The sequence below is a fragment of the Homo sapiens genome, chromosome 11 (assembly GCF_000001405.40).
Source record: "Homo sapiens chromosome 11, GRCh38.p14 Primary Assembly".
NCBI lineage: Eukaryota > Metazoa > Chordata > Mammalia > Primates > Hominidae > Homo > Homo sapiens.
Genome location: NC_000011.10, coordinates 76,394,213 through 76,416,070, shown reverse-complemented (window position 1 = coordinate 76,416,070; position 21,858 = coordinate 76,394,213). Strand labels below are relative to the sequence as shown.

The 21,858-nt window shown below is 43.4% G+C and overlaps 1 protein-coding gene across 5 annotated transcripts in view; it reads right to left on the bottom strand.

The window, feature by feature from the left end:
• Positions 1–1,436: 1,436 nt before the first annotated feature.
• The window catches only part of GVQW3 (GVQW motif containing 3), a 33,312-nt gene continuing 12,890 nt past the window's right edge, over positions 1,437–21,858 (bottom strand). For 2 of the 5 annotated variants that reach the window (NM_001347885.2, NM_001282456.4), the window contains exon 2: positions 7,939–12,411. In NM_001347885.2, coding sequence (NP_001334814.1) covers positions 12,313–12,411 — 99 coding nt within the window. In that variant the 3' untranslated portion in view covers positions 7,939–12,312. Of the gene's footprint in view, positions 5,210–7,448; positions 7,595–7,938; positions 12,412–20,968; positions 21,098–21,858 lie in introns of those variants that run through there. The other 3 variants (NR_130990.3, NM_001347884.2, XM_024448282.2) reach the window with 3 other exon arrangements.

Genomic DNA, 21,858 nt, shown 5'->3' with positions numbered 1-21,858 from the left:
ACACATCATTCTAGATCTGTGCTGTCCAACACGGTAGCCATTAACCACATGTGGCTATTAACATTTAAGTATTAAAATTAAACAAAGTTATATAGTATTAATTATATATCTTGAACAGGGTTCTGGGGCCCCTGGCTATATGCCAGGTACTGTCTTTTTAGTAGCTGAATCTGATGGATCCTGGGAAGTTCCAGGGAATTCTAAGAGGCAGGGAGAGGGGGTGGGTGGGATGGCTGGTACAGTGGCAACAGGGTACCCAGGGAGCTTGAGGGTGGCTACTATTTACTAGCCAGTATAGAAATATTTCAACACTTTAATAACCAATACAGTCGAACGTACCTAATGCAGTCCTGTTGGCCAGGGTTATGACTATGTAAATGTTATTCATAATTAAGCCATGTAGGGGTCTGTGAGTATATTTCCATTCTTGTTAAGATTTCAGGTTCTCCTACGTAAATAATTGCCTTTTTGTTTTATTTTGCTCAGTTTCTGTATCTCTATCACTAAGTCTTCTCTCAAACTCTTTGAAAGAACAGTATGATGACCAACTCTGTCAGGTCCAGCTATATCCCAGGCACTGTGATGGCTTAACTATGGCTATCCATCAGATCCAGCTACTAAAAAGACAGTACCTGACATATAGCCAGGGGCCCCAGAACCCTGTTCAAGAGGCCAGCATTTGTTCAGATCACTCAGTTTCTGTGCCAGTCAGCAGCCTCCAGTCCCTCCTGGGCACTGCCTTTGGCTCCCCCAAAAGGCTGACCTGAACCTTGCTTGCTATACCTACCTGGCCCAGGGAGCCCTGCATGAGAACCATCCTGAGACTGGTGCCACCTGGCTGCCAGCCAATAGCCAGCCAGCCCCATCTCCTGCATATCAGCCCCTGTCCCTGAGTGCTCCACCTGCCCCCAGGAGGCTCAAACCTCACCAGGAGAGATAGCAGCCCCAGAAGAGATGTTGATATCTCAGAAGATAAATATTTTTTAATGGCTTCTCTGGTCATAATGTGTAAATACTGCAAAATGATTAACCAAAAATTGTTAAATAATTGTAGATACAATTATATTAGAGAACGGAGGAGAGAAGCGCTATTAGAGAAATATTCCATTGTTCAAAGTCAGTAGATAATGTCTGAACCTTGGTGTTTCAGGAATACCCTTAAAAGAAAAAAAAAAGGACTAGGTCTGTAATAAAACTAATAAACAAAATTTAAAAAAATTTTAAAAAGATAATGCCTGAACTTAAAATCAAGAAACTGCAGTATAGGTATCTTATTTGGCAAATGGAAGTAAATACCAAAAGAAATAGCTGAAAGTGGCTAGTTGTCTCTGAGGAGTAAGGCTGGGGGTAGGCAGGATTAGGGCAGGAATCTACTGTTTCTTATAATAAGCCTTGAGACTATTTTGGCTTTTGAACCATGTACATATTACTCTTTTTTTTTTTTTTTTTTTGTGGGGACCATTGCAGGAATCCTGGAGAGGTGATAGCTCTGGCAATGACCATGAGGCAAAGATAAGTGGATCTAAGAATATTTAGGACATGAGTTGGGAAAACCTGGTGAGATTGCCTGGTGCAAAGAGTGAGAGAGGAAAAGAGAAGAGAGAATCACGAAAACTGGGGCCTGTAGCTGAGGTTAGGGGATGGCTGACTCTTGGTGAACACTTGGATGCCAAGGGTTCCTCCAGGTACCACTTATAACAAAAGTGACGAACTCTGCTTGGGGGGATTGGAACTGGTTCACGGAGAGAGGGGTGTTTGAACTGGGTCTTGAAGAGAGTATAGAAGTTCCCAGTTCCACAAAGGTTGAGCTCTAAGGTGAGAGGGTATCTTAAAGGAAGAATATTCTTGGGCAAGGGTGGTGAAGACTAATAGGAAGTACAAAGGCACAAAAGTATGGGAGCATCATTTTGGGGACAAACAATGAATTGTCCCATAGAGTGAGAAGTTCAGGAGCCATGTTAAGAGAAGACAATGGTAGAAATAAAGCAGAGACAGAAGTTTGTGACCAGGGCCCAGCGGCCTCCAATGTAGCCTAAGTGGTTCCCTCCCTCAAATTGGTGGCAGCATAACAGGTACAAATCTGAAAAGCAATTTGGAAATACACATCAGAAACCTTGAAAATGTTTCTATCCTCTATCTCAGTGATCCTACTCCTGGGGATTGTTTCTGAGAAAATACAATTTTTAAAGCATAGGGTGAGCGGCACACACTGGTATTTTTTTTTGCATCATTATTGGAAATAGTGAAAAACTGGACAAAAACAAAAGTTTCATCAGAGGAAAATACTTAAGTAAAAGATAGCAAATTCACCCAGTGAATAATAAATATGCAGACTGGTATGCCTGTCATAATTTAGGTGGGCTCACCCAGGGGGCCTGCTGGGTCCAGGGGAGGGGAGGTGGCCAAATGTGGGCAAGAGAGGAAAAAGCAGAGTGGTGTCTAGGTCAGCCCCTCAAGGGTTGGGAAGGAGAGCTGCTCTTTATTGAGCATTCCCCTTTTGGTATCTCACTTAATTCTCACTGTGATCCCATTAGTATCATAAGATGGTACTAATGCCATCCCCATCTTATAGATGAGGAACTGTGGCTCAAAGAGATGGAATGATCTGCCCAGGGCCATCTAGCTTCGAAGTAGAGGAGCTGAGATTCCAACCCAAGTCAACATGATGGCAGAGCGGTCGAAGCTTTTCCTCTGCCACATGATGCCAGTTGTCAATGGCGATCATGTTATCTGCGGAAAGTCCCTTTACATGACACCTGGCATATTTTTTCAGTCTTGGGAGAACAATGCCAAGCCAGTGTGGACACCAGGGGCTGGCAATAAGTAGCCTTGTATGATACAAGGCTAAGCAATAAAAACAGAATACGTAGTTGTATCAGTAATAAAAGCGGCCAAAAAATTATGCTCATGGACAACAGCAGGAAAGGGCAAGGAGAAATGGAAACAGATGACATGTGAGTGGATGCTCTCTTTCCTCTTTCTCTTCTTGAAGTTTCCGTTCTTAACACTGTATTATTTGCACAATAAAAAAAATTCGCAACGAAAGATAGAAAGACTGAGAAAATACAAGTCCCTGGGGTGGCCCATGGCCATGCCTTGAGTTCAGCTGCAGCTCTAGGCTTTCCAAAGCCATTCTGACAGCAGCACTCATAAAGAAGAAGCTAGCTTCTTTTGGATGAGGGGGGAAGGAGAAAAATGTAGCCTGTGACCCATGCCAAGAGGCTTAAGTTAAGTTCCTTGCCATCGTGCTCCAGGGTTGGTGTCATTGCCACATCTGATCAAGCTGTTACCCTGGCTGGGGAGGTATGGCTGTGACCTGGCCTTCCCAGCTCAAGAATTTTTGCATCTAATGGTATTGTTGATCCCTGTTCATTTGTTTTTGCTTCTGCTGGCTGGGGCTTGGGTTTGGCTTTGCTGGAGGAAGGGCCAGTGTGGGATTTTCTCTGACTGAGGGACAGAGGCCAAGGTGACCTCAGCCAGCAAAGAGAACAGTGAAACAGCAACATTTATGCCTGAGTTTCAGAGTTGGGGTGCAGTGATTTTTCTTTGATTCATGCTCACTCCCAATACCTTACTTGATTTTATTCTGTCCTTTAGATCACCATTCCTTTCCAGATTTCATACATTTGCCTATGCTGGTCTCTCTGTCTGGAGTGCCCTGCCTCGTTCTTCCTGACAGAGCTAAGCCCTGCCCATCCTTCAGTACCACTTCGTTGATGAACCTTTTTCCAGTCTCCTTTTGGGGAATGAATCACTCCATCCTCTGGCTCCCAAAACACTTGATTTGTATCTTTCCTATGGCAATTGCATTTGTCTGCAGTACATTATAGTTATTTATGCCCAGCTCTGTTTCTCCTACTAAATGGTGAGCTTCTCAAGGTGGCCAAGAAACATGTCTTATCCAACTCCGATCCCTCACACAATGTCTGGCATGTGGTAGGTGCTCAATCAATGTATGGAATGACATTAATTTACAACGGTTGAGTTCTTCCTCTTTCTATGCATGGGCTCTCTGGGAAAGCTGTTGAGATTTTAGGCGGATGACCAATTGGTTTTTATGTCCATTTGAAAGAGGCAGGAAGAGGAAGAGAGTTAAAGCTATCTGTGGATCCATATTCCAGAGATTTCAGCCAGTGCTCCTTAGGGGGATGAAAACTGGAATAATAACTAACACGTGCAGAGGCTCTTACTTACACTTTCACACCCATTAACTCAGTTGAGTCACAGAAGGGCTCATGGAGGTAGGCTGGCTGGGCAGTATATGGCCTATTCCAATGTTACAGCTGAGGAAACCAAGGCTCAGAAAAATGAAGTGATTTGCAAGATTACATCAACTCAAAGTAGGGCTGGGACTCAAACACAGATCTGTTGACTCCAAATTCCATGCTCTTGGAATTGCTGAGGTGACAAGGGCACAAGCAACCCTTCCCCTTGATAAAGGTTTGCAGAAGGAAGAAAGGAAGCCTATGGTTAACCCTTGATGAAGTATACTTGCACCAGGCCCCAGTTGTTACCCTCATACATATTTACCTCTCATCTAGGGCAGAGACCCTGCTTTCTCCATCATTTCTCTCTCCAAAGTTCAGGTCTTTGGCAAGCCTCACACTTTTGCTGGGTCTTGATTTTCAGGTCTAAAATGAGGAGGCTGAGCTAGAAGTTTAAATTGGGTCACATTCACACTGGCGCCCAACACAGAGCCTGGCCCACAGTTTCCATCACCCTCTCCATGGATGACTCCCAGCTCCAACGCTAGAGGCCTCTAGGACTCCAGCTGACATGATGCAGTGTGTACCCTGCACGTTGCAGCCTCTTCCCAGGCTGGCTGTGGAAACTGAGCCTCCTCCAGACAGCAGGGCTGCTCCGCTCACGCGGATCAAGTCCGGAGCCTCATTAGTCATGTCAGATGACATAGTTAACACTTGGGGCCAGTACAGCCAGTTCATCAAAAGCTCCTATGTGCCTGGCTCCATCACCGCAGCTGAGGAACTACTGTATGTGGAGCAGGCAGCACATCAGAGGAGCAGCACCAGAGTGCTTCCAAATTGGTTTTGATTAATTGCATAGACATGTCTTTAATTGGTGCCAGTGTAGCAGCCAGAGAACTTATGGGAAAGCAGGATGTTATGCTTTCATTCCCTGAAGTCCCATAAAGCAATGAAAGATGAGGAACAGAATCACTGCTCGTTGAAAATGCATCGACCGTGCAGACCTAGAAAACACAAATAAGTATCTGAATTGAAACCTAACCTCATTTTCCCAACTCATTGGAAGCCATGCATGTTCCCCTCTGCCCTGCCTGCCTGCCGAGATGTGCAGCTGAGCAAAAGGTGTGATTTCTAAGAAACAAGTGCTTTAGCACAGAGACAGCATCCTCAGCTCTCTCCAGGCCCTCCTGGAATCGACACCTGGAGGTATCTGGGAAGGCGCCTCCCCTCAGAAACGCCTCTCTCCAGCCCATCACCATCCTATGAACTGTTATCAGAGACTGATTCACTTTGGGTGAAGCATTCATTCACACATTCATTCTTTCTTTTCTACCTCTTGGAGATTTAAGACATATGTATTGACTGTGTACTAAATACAAAGCACTGTTCTGGTGTCATAAGGAATATAGTAGAATGAAGTAAAAAAAAAAACAAAACAGACCCTTTTCCCAGGAAAATGATTATATAGGAGAAAAGAGAGGACAGATGAACTAATGCATCATGAGTCACATCACATAGAAGAGGAACCATTGGGATTTGACATCAAGAGGACTTGGGTTCAAATCTTAGTTCTGTTTCTTCTTACTGAGCCACCTCAGATAATCACTTTAATTCTCTAACTTTCTCCCTCTTTGGGAGGCTGGAGTGCAGTGGTGTAATCACAGCTTACTGCAGCCTCCATTTCCTGGGCTCAAGTGATCCTCCCATCTCAGCCTCCCGACTAGCTAGGGCTACAGGTGTGCACTACCATACCCAGTTTTTCTTATTTTTTTGTAGAGATGGGGTCTTACTCTGTTGCCCAGGCTGGTCTTGAACTCCTGGGTTCAAGTGATCCTCCTGCCTCAGCCTCCCAAAGTGCTGGAATTACAGGCATGAGCCACTGAGTCTGGCCTGAGTTTTAGTTATAGAATAAAATAGTGATACTTACTGGACATGTTGACTGTGAGACTTATAAGAATGAGCAGGGTGGAAAGTACCCAGCACAGGGCCTGGCACTGATCAATAAATTGTTTTCAATTCCAAATAAGCATCACTAGTGAGGCTCTGATAGGGTGCTGGGTGACAGTTCAGTATTCTAGGAACAAACCATTACTGATCACAGACTCTGTGCCAGGTTCTATCCTGAACATTAGGGATTTAGTTAGGAAGCTCAGTCCTGCCCTTGAATGAGACTGAGGTCCACTAGGAAGTCACAATGATTTAATGTGGTAAGAATGGCAAAGTGTCACAGGTGTGCTCACAGAAGTCTACTCAGGGGCGGTGAGGAGGAAAGGAGATAGTGGTCACTTCTACCTGAGAAATCAGGATAGATTTCCCTAAAGAGGCAATGCTTGAACTACATCCTGACACATAAGAATATTTTCATTTACAGATAAAGAAGAAAGCATTTTCCATGCACAAGGCCACAGTTTCCTTCCTTTTGTTCCTAGAGCAAACAGGAGTTACCCCCATAGGATCTTGGAACTAGCTGTTCTCTTTGTATAGAAAGTTCTTCCCCTAAATTTTCCAAAGCTGGCTCCTTCTTGACATTTATAACCCAATATTTTATTTTTTCATTTGTTTATTTTATATCTCTCCTACTAGAATGACAGGTCCGTGAGAGCCTGAGATCCTGGCTGTATTTTCCTCCACTCTGTTACAACATCTAGAACATTACCTGGCATATAATAGGCATTCGGTGTACATTCGTTGCATAAATAAATAAATAAACAACAGGAGGCACAGGAGGGCATACTGCAATTGAGGACCTATTCTAAGCACAGTGCCTGGCATGCAGCGGACACTGAATTTTCTTTCGTAAAATTAAATAATGGGAAATGCCTGAAGCATAGGCCAGAGGAACTGAAGTGGAAGGTAATAGAAGAGATGGCCTCTGAGCTGCACCCGGGAAGAATGACAATGTGATAGAGATGCTAGGAAGGGGATTGGGAGGATTAAATCACAGAACTTTTAAGTCCCTTCCAATCTTGAGCTTCTCTAAGAATTTCTCCCGTACAAATCATCTCTTGTCACCCTTCCTGATCCCCTCACTCACACCCCTCCTTTCCACTCCACCCTGTCTGGAGGCTGTAAGGACATCTGACACACCATTTCCTGCCAATGTAAATCATAGACTGCTGTGTGATGCTCGTTCGCAGGTTTTACCATCCCCCAGATGGAGATGGCCCCAAATCTCAGGGTGGAGGCCTCAAGCAAAGCCAGCCTTACCACAGGGTGGCAAATAAGGGGGAACTGTTTACCCACCAGCACCTTCCTGGCCCTGCTCCCAGATAATTTTATTTCCTCTGGTCCTGGATCTGCTCCTTAGTTGGATGCACCTCAGTTCACTTGCTGGAGCACTGATGTGTGACTGTTTAACTGCTGCTGCTTCCTGTCCCAGGGATCCTGGGCTTCAGGGAGCATGGGAAAGAGACAAGAAAGAGAGCTTTATATGAGGTAAGCCTTGACAGTAATCATAAAAGTCAAAGACTAACTTACACTTAGATAGTGCTTCACAGTTTACAAAGCCCTAGAGGACCCCTATTCATCCTTCAAGGCCCGAACAAATGTTACCTCTTTTCACTAACCTTCAACTCTCCCAGGCAGAGCTAATCCTTTCCTCCACACTTGATAAAACCTCCGTGATAGCTCTTACTGCCTTGTAATAAGCGTATCTGTGTACGTGTCTCATTTCCTCCACTAAACCCTCAGAACCCTGGGGGCAGATCTCTTTTCTCCCAGTAAAACACATTTCTTTCTTTCTTAACAAGTAATTTTAATGTTCATTATACATATTTTCTAACTACAAAAGTAATATTTATTGTTATAATAAGAAAAATTATATATATAAAAGCATAATGAAGCAAGTTTAAAATCACTTATAATTTCATCACCCAGATCAAACCACTGGTAATGTTTTGGATCTATCTTGAGGGGTTTGTTTTAGCATACAGAAAGTAAAAATGGGACTATATAATGCATGTGGTTTTATAGTCTGTTTTATCACCTATCTTATTGTGAACATCTTCAAACATCATTGACAGTTCTTTAAAAACATCATCTTAAATAGCTGCATTATTTCACTTAATGAGTATGCTGTAATTTTCTTAACAATTTCTCCATTGTGGGACATTTGGGTTATTTCCTTCTTTTTACTACTTTTACAAATAAGTCTGCAATGAATGGCTGTTACATAAATCTTTGTCTGCATCTCTGACTGTTTTCCTAAGAAAGATTCCTAAGAAATCGTCCTAGAAGATTCCTAGGTCAACTGGCTTAAATTCTTTTTTTTTTTTTTTTTTTTTTTTTTTGAGAGGGAGTCTTGCTCTGCCGCCCAGGCTGGAGTGCAGTGGTGCGATCTCAGCTCACTGCAACCTCCACCTCCCAGGTTCAAGCGATGCTCCTGCCTCAGCCTCCCGAGTAGCTGGGATTACAGGCATGCACCACCACACCCAGCTAATTTTTGTATTTTTAGTAGAGAAGGGGTTTCACCATGTTGACCAGGCTGGTCTCTAGCTCCTGACTTGTGATCTGCCCACCTCGGCCTCCCAAAGTATTGGGATTACAGGCGTGAACCACTGTGACCGGTGTGGTTTAAACTCTTTAAAGCTTCGTGATGCTCATTGCGAAATTGCTCTGAGAAAACAATATCAATTTATAATTTCACCAATGCAACATGTCTCACCTGACCAACATTATAAGCCCATTTGTATCTTTACCAAGTCCAGCATCCTTTTCATAATGTCTCACAAGTTAAGTAATTTTTCTTAAACACAGCAGAAATTATACAACCAAACTTAGAGTTATCCTCTTCCAAGATGTCAACCTGGGAGGGCATATTTATTTATTTATTTATTTTATTTTATTTTATTTATTTTTTGAGACAGAGTCTCGCTCTGTAGCCCAGGCTGGAGTGCAGTGGTGTGACCTTGGCTCACTGCAAGCTCCGCCTCCCAGGTTCTTGCCATTCTCCTGCCTCAGCCTCCCAAATAGCTGGGACTACAGGCACCCGCCACCACTCCCAGCTAATTTTTTGTATTTTTGGTAGAGACGGGGTTTCACTGTGTTAGCCAGGTTGGTCTCGATCTCCTGACTTCGTGATCGACCCGCCTTGGCCTCCTAAAGTGCTGGGATTACAGGCGTGAGCCACCACGCCTGGCCCGGCATATTTATTTAAACAGTGCTTCCACTGCTTTAAACATTTCTTTTTTATTTGAAAATTGGCTGCAAAGCAGACAACACATTCTTTTGCATCTAAATTACAATAGATTCTGTTTTCAGGGAATGATTTTTGATTTTTGGCAATAGTCAAAAGTCACTTGAAATTCGTGAGATGAGAAGCTGCAGCTGGGTTTGGGGTCAGAAATGAGGTGCAATATTACAGTAATGAGATTGAGGTCTTTTGCAACTTGCAAAGAGTCCCAGAGGAGTTCTGGGCAGTAGTGGCATCATCAGAATAAAGGCTGAACCTTCTAGCCTGACCATTCCAAAGTGGCTGCACTCAGGTGGAGGTATGACTCTAGCACACAGTTATTGAACCTCCTCTCATGACTTCATCGTTACTCTGTGGATAGCCCCAGGGACAGGTGTCAACTTATTTCAGAACTGAGCTCCAGGCCAGGTGCAGTGGCTCACACCTATAGTCCCAGCATTTTGGGAGGCCTAGGTGGGCAGATTGGTTGAGCCCAGGAGTTTGAGACCAGAGTGGGCAACAGGGTGAAACCCTGACTCTACAAAAAATGCAAAAATTAGCTGGGCATGGTGATACATGCCTCTAGTCCCAGCTACTCAGGAGGCTGAGGTGGGAGGATCACTTGAGCCCAGGAGATAGAGGCTACAGTGAGCTGCGATTGAACCACTGCACTGTAGCCTCGGTGACATAGGGAGAGCCTGTCTCAAAAAAAAGTAAAAAAGAACTGATCTCCAGGCCAGGCATGGTGGCTAATGCCTGTAATTCTAGCACTTTGGGAGGCTGAAGGGGGAGGATCACTGGAGCCCAGGAGTTCAAGACCAGCCTGGGCAACATAGTGAGACCCTGTCTCTACCAAAAAAAATTCTTTTAATTAATTAGCCATGCATGGTAGCACGCACCTGTTGTCCTAGCTACTTGGAAGGCTGAGGCAGGAGGATCACTTGAGCCATGGAGTTGGAGGCTGCAGTGAGCTACAATCAACTGCGCTCCAGCCTGGACAACAGTACTGATCTGATCTCCTTCCCTATTCTTTCTTCATCAAGCCCACTTGGACCTCATGTGACTCCAAGACAAGACTTTAGAGGGGCAGTTGAAGGGGAGGGTGGAACATAGCATGGCAATGGAAAGAGCCCTCAGACTTCAGTCAGAAAGAAATGAGTCTGATGTGTGGCTCTAACTGTGCCTTTTGCCAGCTGTGTGTTAGGTCCCATTAGTAAAGGAGGATGCTACTTCCAAGGACTGTTTGGGAAAATGGAAAATATACATATAACCACACGCAGACACACAAACACACACAGGCACGCCAAATAGCTAATGCTTATTGAGTACCGACTCCATGCCAAATACATACTGTGCTTTCTATGCACATGGCAGACCCTGTTGACTGGCTACCCAAAAGCCATTTGCTCCTTGTTACCTACCACTGCAGCTCCCTTGGGCCAATGAGATTTAGTAGAACTCTGCTGGGAGTTACTGGGAGAGCTTTTGCTTTCCTGATGAAACAGGACTGCTGAGTCTGAACTGTCCGCACCTCCCAACCCCTGCCTGCCTTGAACTTGGAGGTGAGGGCAGGGTGTCACAGCCATCTTGTAACCAAGATGGAAAGACCAAAGGAGCACCTTTGGAATTCTTATTATGCCAGAAAATAACTACTTATTTAAGTCACTGTTAGTTATCATTACTTACAGCTAAAAATATTCCAATATACATGCATAAAAAGTGTCCACACATAAACAATGCTCAATAAAGGGTAGCTATTTACACTCATTAAAGTCCCCAACCTATAGAGACTTGAAATGCCTTCTTTTTCTTCAGTTAGACTCAGTCACCCCCATTGATCCCCTGCACCTTTGCAGGGCACCTACTCAGGACCAGGCTTTGTGCAAGATGCACAGGGCAAGAGGCGCCCCCAGTCTAAGGAAGGAAGTGAAAAGCCTGAGAGTATGCCAGTCTCTGCTGAGACATTGCCCAAACCCAGCAGGACTCAACAGGTAAGTCCTGCCATGGCCTGGGCTTCCTCCTTCTACCTGATGTGCAGGATGCTTGGTATTCCCCTTCACTGCCCACCTCCTGCCTGAGCTTGGAGATGCTTCTGGGTGGTGGAGGAAATGCTTATTGACTTCCACATCTTTCCAGCCAAATGCTCCTACCGGGGGGTCCCAGGCTCAAGAGAGCCCGGCTTCACCTGCTTGCTGTCTACTCCCATAGGAAACAGGAGGAATCTTTTTCAGAATATTTGCTCCAGCAAAAATTGTCCATCAAGGCTAACAATGGAGAGAAGGCAGAGATACTGAGCTACCTTTTAGATGCCTGGATGTCCTGTATGGGATTTTATAGAGAAGCAGATTGAACACAAAACCTATTTCCGCACTTAAAGTTCTATGGCTTTGGCAGTTTAGACAACCTTTCTGAGCTTCAGTTTTCTTATTTATAAAATGGAGATGGCTGGTCCAAAGGTAGTGAGTTATCTCAATCAATTGTTCACTGTCAGTCACAGATTGAACTCCTCGTTCTATTCCTTCCCTCTTTCTCACTACTGAACTTAACTAGTCTAAAATAAATAAGTAAATAAATAAACAAAATGGAGATGTGACAGCCAATTTTATATGTTCACTTGACTGGATCATGGGGTACTGAGATAGATGGGAAAACATTATTTCTGGGTGTGTCTGTGGGGATGTTTCCGGAAGAGATTAGCATTTGAATTGGTAGACCGAGTAATGAAGAGGCAGCCCTCCCTAATGTGCATGGACATCATCCAATTCATTGAGGACCTGAATAGAACAAAAAGATAGAAGGGCAAATTTGTTCTCGCTTCTTGAGCTGTGACATCCATCTTCTCCTGCCCTTGTACATCAGCACTCCTCGCTCTTCGGCCTGTGGACTCAGACTGGAATTTACACCATTGAACTCCTGGTTTTGGCTTGGCATGGTGGCTCATGCTGATAATCCCAGAGCTTTGGGAGGCCAAGGTGGGAGGATCCCTTGAGACAAGGAGTTCGAGACCAGCCTGGGCAACATAGTGAGGTTCCGTCTCTACAAAAAATAAAAATAAAAAATTATTTGGGCATGGTGGCACATGCTTGTAGTTCCACCTACTCAGGAGGCTGAGGTGGGAGGACTGCTTGAGCCCAGGAATGCAAGCCTGCAGTGAGCTAAAATCGTGCCACTATACTCCAGCATGGGTGCCAGAACAATATCCTGTTTCTAAACAAACAAACAACAAAACCCACTAAACTCTAGTTCTCAGGTCTTCGTCTTTGGGCTTGGACTAGAATGACACCATTGGCTTTCCTGGGCTCCAGCTTGCAAATGGCAGTTCTTAGGACTTCTCAGCCTCCATAATCACAATAAATTATACGAAAGAATAAATCTATTTACATACATCTCCTATTGGTCCTGTTTCTCTGGAGAACCTTGACTAATACAGGAGATAATGTCTACCTCCAAGGCCGGGAGTGGTGGCTCACGCCTGTAATCCCAGCACTTTGGGAGGCTGAGGCAGGCGGATCATGAGGTCAGGAGTTCCAGACCAGCTTGTCCAACATGGTGAAACCCTGTCTCTACTAAAAATACAAAAATTAGCCGGGTGTGGTGGCGTGCCCCTGTAATCCCAGCTACTCAGGAGGCTGAGGCAGGAGAATCGCTTGAACCCGGGAGGTAGAGGTTGCAATGAGCCGAGATTGCGCCACTGCACTCCAGCCTGGGCGACAGAGTAAGACTCTGTCTCAAAAATAAATAAATAAATAAACAAACAAACAAATTAATAAATGTCTACCTCCAGCCTAGGCAGCATGACAAAATTCTATCTCTACAAAAAAATACAAAAATTAGTCGGGTGTGGTGGTGTGTGCCTGTAGTCCCAACTACTGGGGAGGTTCTGAGGCTGGAGGATCAATTGAGCCTGGGTGATTGCACCACTGCACTCCAGCTGGGGTGACAGAATGATACCCTTTCTCAAAAAAAAAATTAAATTATATTAAGAAAAATAAGTGTATACTTGACAGAATTATTGTTTCTCATCTGGCAACTTCCAGAAACATGATCAGCTACACTAATGAAGATGGGTCTCACATCGCACTCCTTGCTATAGACACATGGAGGTGCTGGATGAATTATAATGCAAATCTTTTTTTTTTTTTTGAGACAGAGTCTCGCTCTGTCATCCAGGGTGGAGTGCAGGGGCACAATCAGGACTCACTGCAACCTCTGCCTCCTGGGTTCAAGTGATTCTCCTGGCTCAGCCTCCTGAGTAGCTAGGATTACAGGCACGCACCACCACACCCAGCTAATTTTTGTATTTTTAGTAGAGACAGGGCTTCACCATGTTGTCCAGGCTGGTCTCAAACTCCTAACCACACGTGATCCACCCACCTCAGCCTCCCAAAGTGCTGGGATTACAGGCGTTAGCCACCATGCCCAGCCTAAAAATGTTATTTTTTATCGCTGAATTTGAAAAATATAAAGAGAAATTTCTAGACATCAGAAATGAAAAGGGAGCTCAAAGGCAGGACAGGGTACAGCCAGTGCCTAGGCAACACACAGGGACCTCAGACTCAGATATAGATCCTGAGGGCTGTGGGCTAGGGTTTCACTGCACACTAAGGAGTAGGAGATAGGGCTTAAGTTTCTGCCAGGTGAGCAAGTTGGAACTGAGATAAAGCCCTGAGATTGGAAGCTGGGCTTCTTCCATGAAAAGGAGACTGGAAAAGCTGTATCCTGGCGTTAGAGAAGTTGCAAGAAAGATTGATCTTTGAAGAGGCTGTGGGTGGGGTAATAAATAGCATTTACAAGAAATAGAAACCCCAGTCTCTGCCACATGCAAGATGGGGAGTTTGAATTTACTTTACCTTTAGATGCAGGCACCCATTGAGATAAATTCTTTCTTTTCTTTTCTTTCTTTCTTTTTTTTTTTTTTTTTTGAGACAGAGTTTCGCTTTTGTCACCCAGGCTGGAGTGCAATGGTGCAATCTCAGCTCACTGCAACCTCCGCCTCCCAGGTTCAAGTGGTTCTCCTGCCTCAGCCTCATGAGCAGCTGGGATTACAGGCATGCGCCACCATGCCTGGCTAATTTTTATATTTTTAGTAGAGACGAGGTTTCACCATTTGGCCAGGCTGGTCTCAAACTCCTGACCTCAGGTGATCCGCCTGCCTCAGACTCCCAAAGTGCTGGGACTACAGGCGTGAGCCACCACGCCCGGCAAGATAAATTAACAGAAAAATTGGTCCAGATCATTAAAATTCATAGGTTAGGCTGGAGCAAGACCCATTAAAACTCTTAGCTTTAGGCTGAAGCAAATCAAAATACCTCGATAGGGATGCTTGACAAATTTATTAGAAAAAAAAATATCCTGAGGAAAATACTCTCAGAAAGTAACAAATCACATGAGGAAAAAAAAGATCAAAATAGAGAGTCAACAAACAAAACAAACTAGAGATATGAAGGGTAAAAATGGAAACACCTGAAAGAGACTATGAAGTAAGGATGATTAAAATAGAGAGATAAGAAAGTGTAGAAGCCTGGTCAGGCGCAGTGGCTCATGCATGTAATTATAGCACTTTGGGAGGCTGAGGTGGGCAGATTGCTTGAGCCCAGGAGTTCAAGAGCAGCTTGGGCAACATAGTGAAACCCTGTCTCAAAAAAGAGAAAAAATATATATATATATAAAAATAGAAGCCATAATAAAGGAACAGAATAGTATGGAGGAGAAAGAGTTGGGAAATTTGAAAAAGAACCATATAGAACTTCCAGAAATAAAAACATAGTTACTAAAATTAAAGACTCAAAGATGAGTTAACCTACATATTCGAGCTAGCTGAAGAGGGAATCTGAAGAAACATTTTGAGGACATGCCCCAAATGGAGTAAAGAGAGATAAAGAGAGAAAACCCGAACAAGAATTTAAGAGAAATGAAGAATAAAAAGAGAGAGCCAAACAGATGTCTCATAGGAGTTCCAGAAAGATTTAACAGAGGGGCCGGGTGCAGTGGCTTATGCCTGTAATCCCAGCACTTTGGGAGGCTGAGGTGGGCGGATCACCTGAGGTCAGGAGTTCAAGACCAGTCTGGCCAAATGGTGAAACTCCGGCTCTACTAAAAATACAAAAATTAGCCAGGCATGGTGGTGTGAGCCTGTAATCCCAGCTACTCGGAAAGCTGAGGCAAGAGAATCGCTCGAACCCAGGAGGCGGAGGTTGCAGTGAACTGAGATTGTGCCATTGCACTCCAGCCTGGGCGACAAAAGTGAGACTCCATCTCAAAAAAACAAACAAACAAAAAAAGGGCCAGGCAGAGTGACTCACACCTGTAATCCCAGCACTTTGGGAGGCTGAGGCAGGTGGATTACCTGAGGTCAGGAGTTCAGGACCAGTCTGGCCAACATGGTGAAACCCTGTCTCTACTAAAAAATACAAAAATTAGCTGGGTGTGGTGGCAGGCGCCCGTAATCCCAGCTACTTGGGAGGCTGAGACAGGAGAATTGCTTGAACCTGGGAGGCGGAGGTGGCAGTGAGTAGAGATCACGCCAATGGACTCCAGCCTGGGTGACAAGAGCGAAACTCCATCTCAAAAAAGAAAAAAAAAAGAAAGAAAGATTTAACATTATGGGGTTCTTTAGAGAAACAGGAAACAGAACCAACAAGATCCGTGTGTGTGTGTGTGTGTGTGTGTGTGTGTGTGTGTGTGTGTGTATACAGAGAGAGAGAGATTTATTATAAGGAATTGGCTCATGCAATTATGGAGGCAATTACGGAGGCTGAGAAGTTCCAAGATCTGTACCTGGCAAGCTGTAGACCCAGGAGAGCCAACAGTGACTTTCCAGCCTGAGTCCAGAGGCCTGAGGAAAAGGAGAGCCAGTGGTGTAAGTTCCAGTTCAAAATCCTGCAATCTTGAGACCCAAAAAAAGAGCTGGTGTTTCAGTTTGAGTCTGGAGGCAGGAAAAGACTGATGTCCCAGCAGCCAGGCAGGAGGAGTTTCCTCTTACTTGCAGGAGAGTCAGCCTTTTTGTTCCATCCAAGCCTTCAACAACTGAATGAGGCCTGCTCGCATTATTAGAAAGGGCAGTCTGCTTTACTCAGTCTATTGATTCCAATGTTAACGCATCCAGAAACACCCTCCCAGACACACCCAGAATAATTGTGTGACCAAACATGTGGGCACCCCGTGGTCCAGACAAATTGACAAATAAAATTAACCATCATGAATTATTGATAATTTTCCAAAACTGGAGAAACATACGAAGACAGCAAATAAACAGTTCAGGCATGGTGGCTCACGCCTGTAATCCCAGCACTTTGGGAGGCCGAGGTGGGTGGATCATTTGAGGTCAGGAGTTGGAGATCAGCCTGGCCAATATGGTGAAACCCCATCTCTACTAAAAATACAAAAATTAGCCAGGCATTGGGTGATGCACGCCTGTAATCCCAGTTACTCGGGAGGCTGAGGCAGAAGAATCGCTTGAACCTGGGAGGTAGAGGTTGCAGTGAGCTGAGATCATGCCACTGCACTACAGCCTGGGCGACAGAGTGAGACCGTGTCTCAAGTAAATAAAATAAAATAAAATAAAATGAAATAAAATAAAATAAAATACAATACAATACAATTACATGACTAGTCACATACTGATTAAACTGCAAAACCACAAGGCAAATATAAAAGTCTGCAGTGACAAGGGACAGATTATCAAAAGGAATGTTAACTACAATGAAATCAGCTTTCTCATCAGCAACAATGAGAACCAGGAGACAGTAGGATAATATCTTCAAAGTGTGCACAAAAAATAAATCTCAAACCAGAATCCTATACACAAATTAGTAAGCGAGAGCCAAACTTTCAGACATTTTCTGATGAACAAAGACAGTTAGTTTACCTCACAGAAACCTGCTGAAAGTATTTTAACACATTAATAGATATACGTCTATAAGAAAATTGAATTCAGGCTGGGCATGGTGGCTCACACCTATAATCCTAGCACTTCAGGAGGCTGAGGTGGGAGGATCGCTTGAGGCCAGGTGTTGAAGACCAACCTGGCCAACATAGCAAGACCAACTCCATAAAAAAACAATTGTTTTTTAAAGAAAATTGAGGCCAGGCACAGTGGCTCACACCTGTAATCCCAGCACTTTGGGAGGCCATGGCAGGCGGATCACCTGAGCTCAGGAGTTCGAGATCACCCTGGGCAACATGGTAAAACCCCGTCTCTACTAAAAATACAAAAAATTAGCTGGGCGTGGTGGCATGCACCTGTAGTCCCAGATACTCAGGAGGCTGAGGCATGAGAATCACTTAAGCCCTGGAGGCAGAGGTTGCAGTGAGCTAAGATTGAGCCACTGCACTCTAGCTTGGCAGCTTGGGCTACAAAGTGAGACTGTCTCAAAAGAAGAAAAAGAAAGAAAAAAGAAAATCGAATCCAGAAAGAAGTAACATGTAAGGTGTGGGATACAAGTGAGGCACCAAAGCTAGCTCTGATCAGCCCAGATAGCAGACTGCTAAAACTTCCAGGAATTTTGAGAATTGGTTGTTACACACAGTCATTTTCTTTTCTTTCTTTTTTTTTTTTTTTTGAGACACAGTCTCAGTCTATTACCCAGGCTAGAGTGCAGTGGTGCCATCTTGGCTCACTACAACCTCTGCCTCCTGGGTTCAAGGGATTCTCGTACCTCAGCCTCCCGAGTAGCTGAGACTACAGGCACAGGCCACCACACCAGGCTACTTTTCATACTTTTGTAGAGATGGGGTTTCACCATGTTGGCCAGGCTGGTCTCAAAACTCCTGACCTCAGATGATCCACCCGCCTCAGCCTCCCAAAGTGCTGGAATTACAGGCATAAGCCACTGCAACCGGCCCATTTTCAAACATTAAATTATGTAAACTTACAATTAAATGAATCACTTTAAATATAAAGGTCAAAAATCCTCACAATGCATGCCTTCTTAATTATTTTACCACATTATGCTATCAACCATGCAACTTTTATTTGTATCTCCTGTGTTTATACAGTAGACATACTATAGAATGGTGTACTACTCTGCATCTGTTCCCAGTTCTACATTCAATGATGCCACATTGGTAATTTGAATATTTACACTCTAGAAATTAACAAATGTTACAAATCAGAGATCCCCAACCCTACCAAGTGAAAACTGGTGTTAAATATTTACCAGCATACCAGTGAATACAAGAAATAATGAATTACTTATGAATACCGCTCCTAGGTGTATACCTAAGGGAATTAAAAACGTATGTTCACAAAAACCTTGTACATGAGCATTCATAGCAGTATTCTGCATAATAGCCAAAAGCCGAAAACAACCTAAATGTCCATCAACTGATAAATAAATAGAATGTGGTAGATTCACACAATGGAATGTTATTCAGCCATAAGAAGGAATGAAGGGGCTGAGTGTGGTGGCTCATGCCTGTAATCCCAGCACTTTGGGAGGCCAAGGTGGGCAGATCATGAGGTCAAGAGATTGAGACCATCCTGGCCAACATGGTGAAATCCCGTCTCTACTAAAAATACAAAAATTAGCTGGGCGTGGTGGTGCGCACCTGTAGTCCCAGCTACTCGGGAGGCTAAGGCAGGAGAATCACTTGAACCCTGGAGGTGGAGGTTGTGGTGAGCTGAGATCACCATTGCACTCTAGCATGGGCAACAAGAGCGAAACTCCATCTCAAAAAAAAAAAAAAAAAAAAGGAATAAATGACTGACCCATGCTCCAACGTGGATGAACCTTAAAAACATTAGGCTAAGTGAAAGAAGCCAGACATAAAAGGCTACATATTATGATTCCATTTATATGAAATCTCCAAAATAGGCAAATCCATAGAAACAGAAAGTATATGAGTGGTTGCCAGGGGATTAAAGAAAATGAGGAAACTGCTAATGGGTAGGGGGTTTCCTTGTGGAATGCTGTAATCTGTTCTAAAATTAGTGGTGATGGTTCTACAATTTTGTAAATATACTAACGATTTTATTGGATATGAATTATATTTCAGTAAAAAGAGAGAAAGATAGGCAACGAAGCCGGTATGCAGGTTTATAAATCTAAATAAACACTGGCTGTTAAAACATCTAATTTGAGCCCAGGCATGGTGGCTCATGCCTGTAATCTCAGCACTTTAGGAGGCCAAGGTGGGATGACTGCTTGGCCCCAGGAGTTCGAGACCAGCCTGGGCAATGTGATGAAACTCTATCCCTACAAAAAAATACAAAATTAGCTGGGTGTGGTGGCAGGCACCTGCAGTCCCAGCTACTTCGGGGGCTGTGGTGGGAGGATCCCTTGAGCCCGGGAAGCGTAGTTTGCAGTGAGCTGAGATTGTGCCACTGTACTCCAGCCTGGGCAACAGGAGTGAGACCCTGTCTCAAAAAATAATAATAATAATAAAATAATAATAATAATAATAGCAGCACAGAAATGTTAAAACGATGGGAAAATATACTAGGCAAATGCTAAGCAAAATAATGCAATATTGACAGCTTTTAAGCCAAAAATAATTACTAGGGATAAAGAATCATATGATAATGATAATGATAAAAGGAAAAGTTCACCAGGAAGATATATCCCAGAACCTCTGAGTACCACCTGGCAACATTGCTTCCAAATATACAAAGCCCCCTCAAGTCTTCAGCATGTATGTAAGGAAACTACCAGAGGCCAGAGAAAGAACTGCCTAAAAGGATTAGAAGGAACCATTTTTGGAGATCACACAGGTCCACTTCCTATTCCTAACATCTAGAGTGGCAAGACATATTTCATAAGGTTTCGGGTGCCCTCAACACTGGGGCAAAATTAGCCCTAGACTAATATTACTCTGGTCTCATCTAACAAAGCTTAAAAGTAATAGCCAAAAGCTATTTCCAAAAATCAGTCAAATGAAACTGAGGGAGATAGGTAAAATTGATAGATAAGGTCATTAAAACTATTATCACTGTATTCCATGTGATCAATAACCTAAAGAAAAAATTGAGCTTGTTAAGTAGAGACATGGAAGATATCAAAAAGACCCAAATTCCAGTAGCAATACACTCACTGCCCATATCTTGCTTTCTAAACACCATTCTCCAATAAAAGGAACCAGGGCTAGACAGAAATCGAGAATAGAGAAATGGCTGGTCACAGGTGTGGAAGGCAAAAAACAAGATAATCTTGGAGCATATTGTAGTACCAGAAGGTAAGGACCTGCTAAGAAAAAACAAAAGGTTGGAAGCACATCAAAGAGACACAGAAGCCAACCTGAAAAAACACCCAATGGCCAAAGCTGGAACAACTTGAGCAACAAAATAAGTAACACAGTATGGGATTATTACACAAAATATAAAACAAACATACATGAGTCCAAACATATCCATAGAGATAGAAAGTTGATTCATGGTTGCTGGGGCCAAGGATGAGAGAGAATGGAGAATGACTGCTTAATGAGTATAGGGTTTCCTTTTAGTGTGATGAAGATGTTCTGAACTAGATAGTGGTGATGGTTGCACAGCATTGTGAATGCACTAAATGCAACTGAGATGTACACTTTAAAGTGGTTAAAATGGTGAATTCTGTCATATGAATTTTACCACAATAAAAAATTACCATAAAATCCCTTCTTTCATTCATCTATCAAACATTTATTGAGCAGTTCCACGCAAGGTTTATTCTGGATGCAGGGAACATGGAACAATCAGATGTGGGCTTGGCTTTTAGGAGGTCCTGGGCTAGTAGAGAAGAAAAACATCCTGCAAACAACAAAGTTCAGTTAAGTGTTACAGTTTTCTTGACATCAGAATGTGCATTGCTACAATAAGATATCATCTCACCCCAGTTAAAATGGCTTTTATCCAAAAGACAGGCAATAACAAATGTTGGCAAGGATGCAGAGAAAAGGGAACCCTCATACACTGTTGATGGGAATGTAAATTAGTACATCCACTACAGAGAACAGTTTGAAGGTTCTGCAAAAAATGAAAAATAGAGCTACCATATAATCTAGCAATCCCATTGTTAGGTATATACCCAAAAGAAAGCAAATCAGTATATCAAAGAGATACCTGCACTCCCATGTTTTTTGCAGCACCATTCACAATAGCCAAGATTTGGAAGCAACCCAAGTGTCTGTCAACAGATGAATAGATAAAGAAAATGTGGCAGATATACACAATGGAGTGCTATTCAGTCATAAAAAAGAATGAGATCCTGTCATTTGCAACATCATGGATAGAACTGAAGGTCATTATGTTAAGTGAAATAAGCCAAGCACAGAAAGACAAACCTCTCATGTTCTCACTTATTTGTGGGAGCTACAATTAAAATAAATGAACTTATGGAGACAGAGAGTAGAATGATGGTTACCAGAGGCTGGGAAGGATAGTGGAGGGTGGGGTGGGGGGAAAAGGGGATGGTTAATGGGTACCAAAAAATAGTTAGAAAGAATGGACAAGATCTAATATTTGATAGCACAGCAGGGTGACTGTAGTCATAATAATGTAATTGTACATCT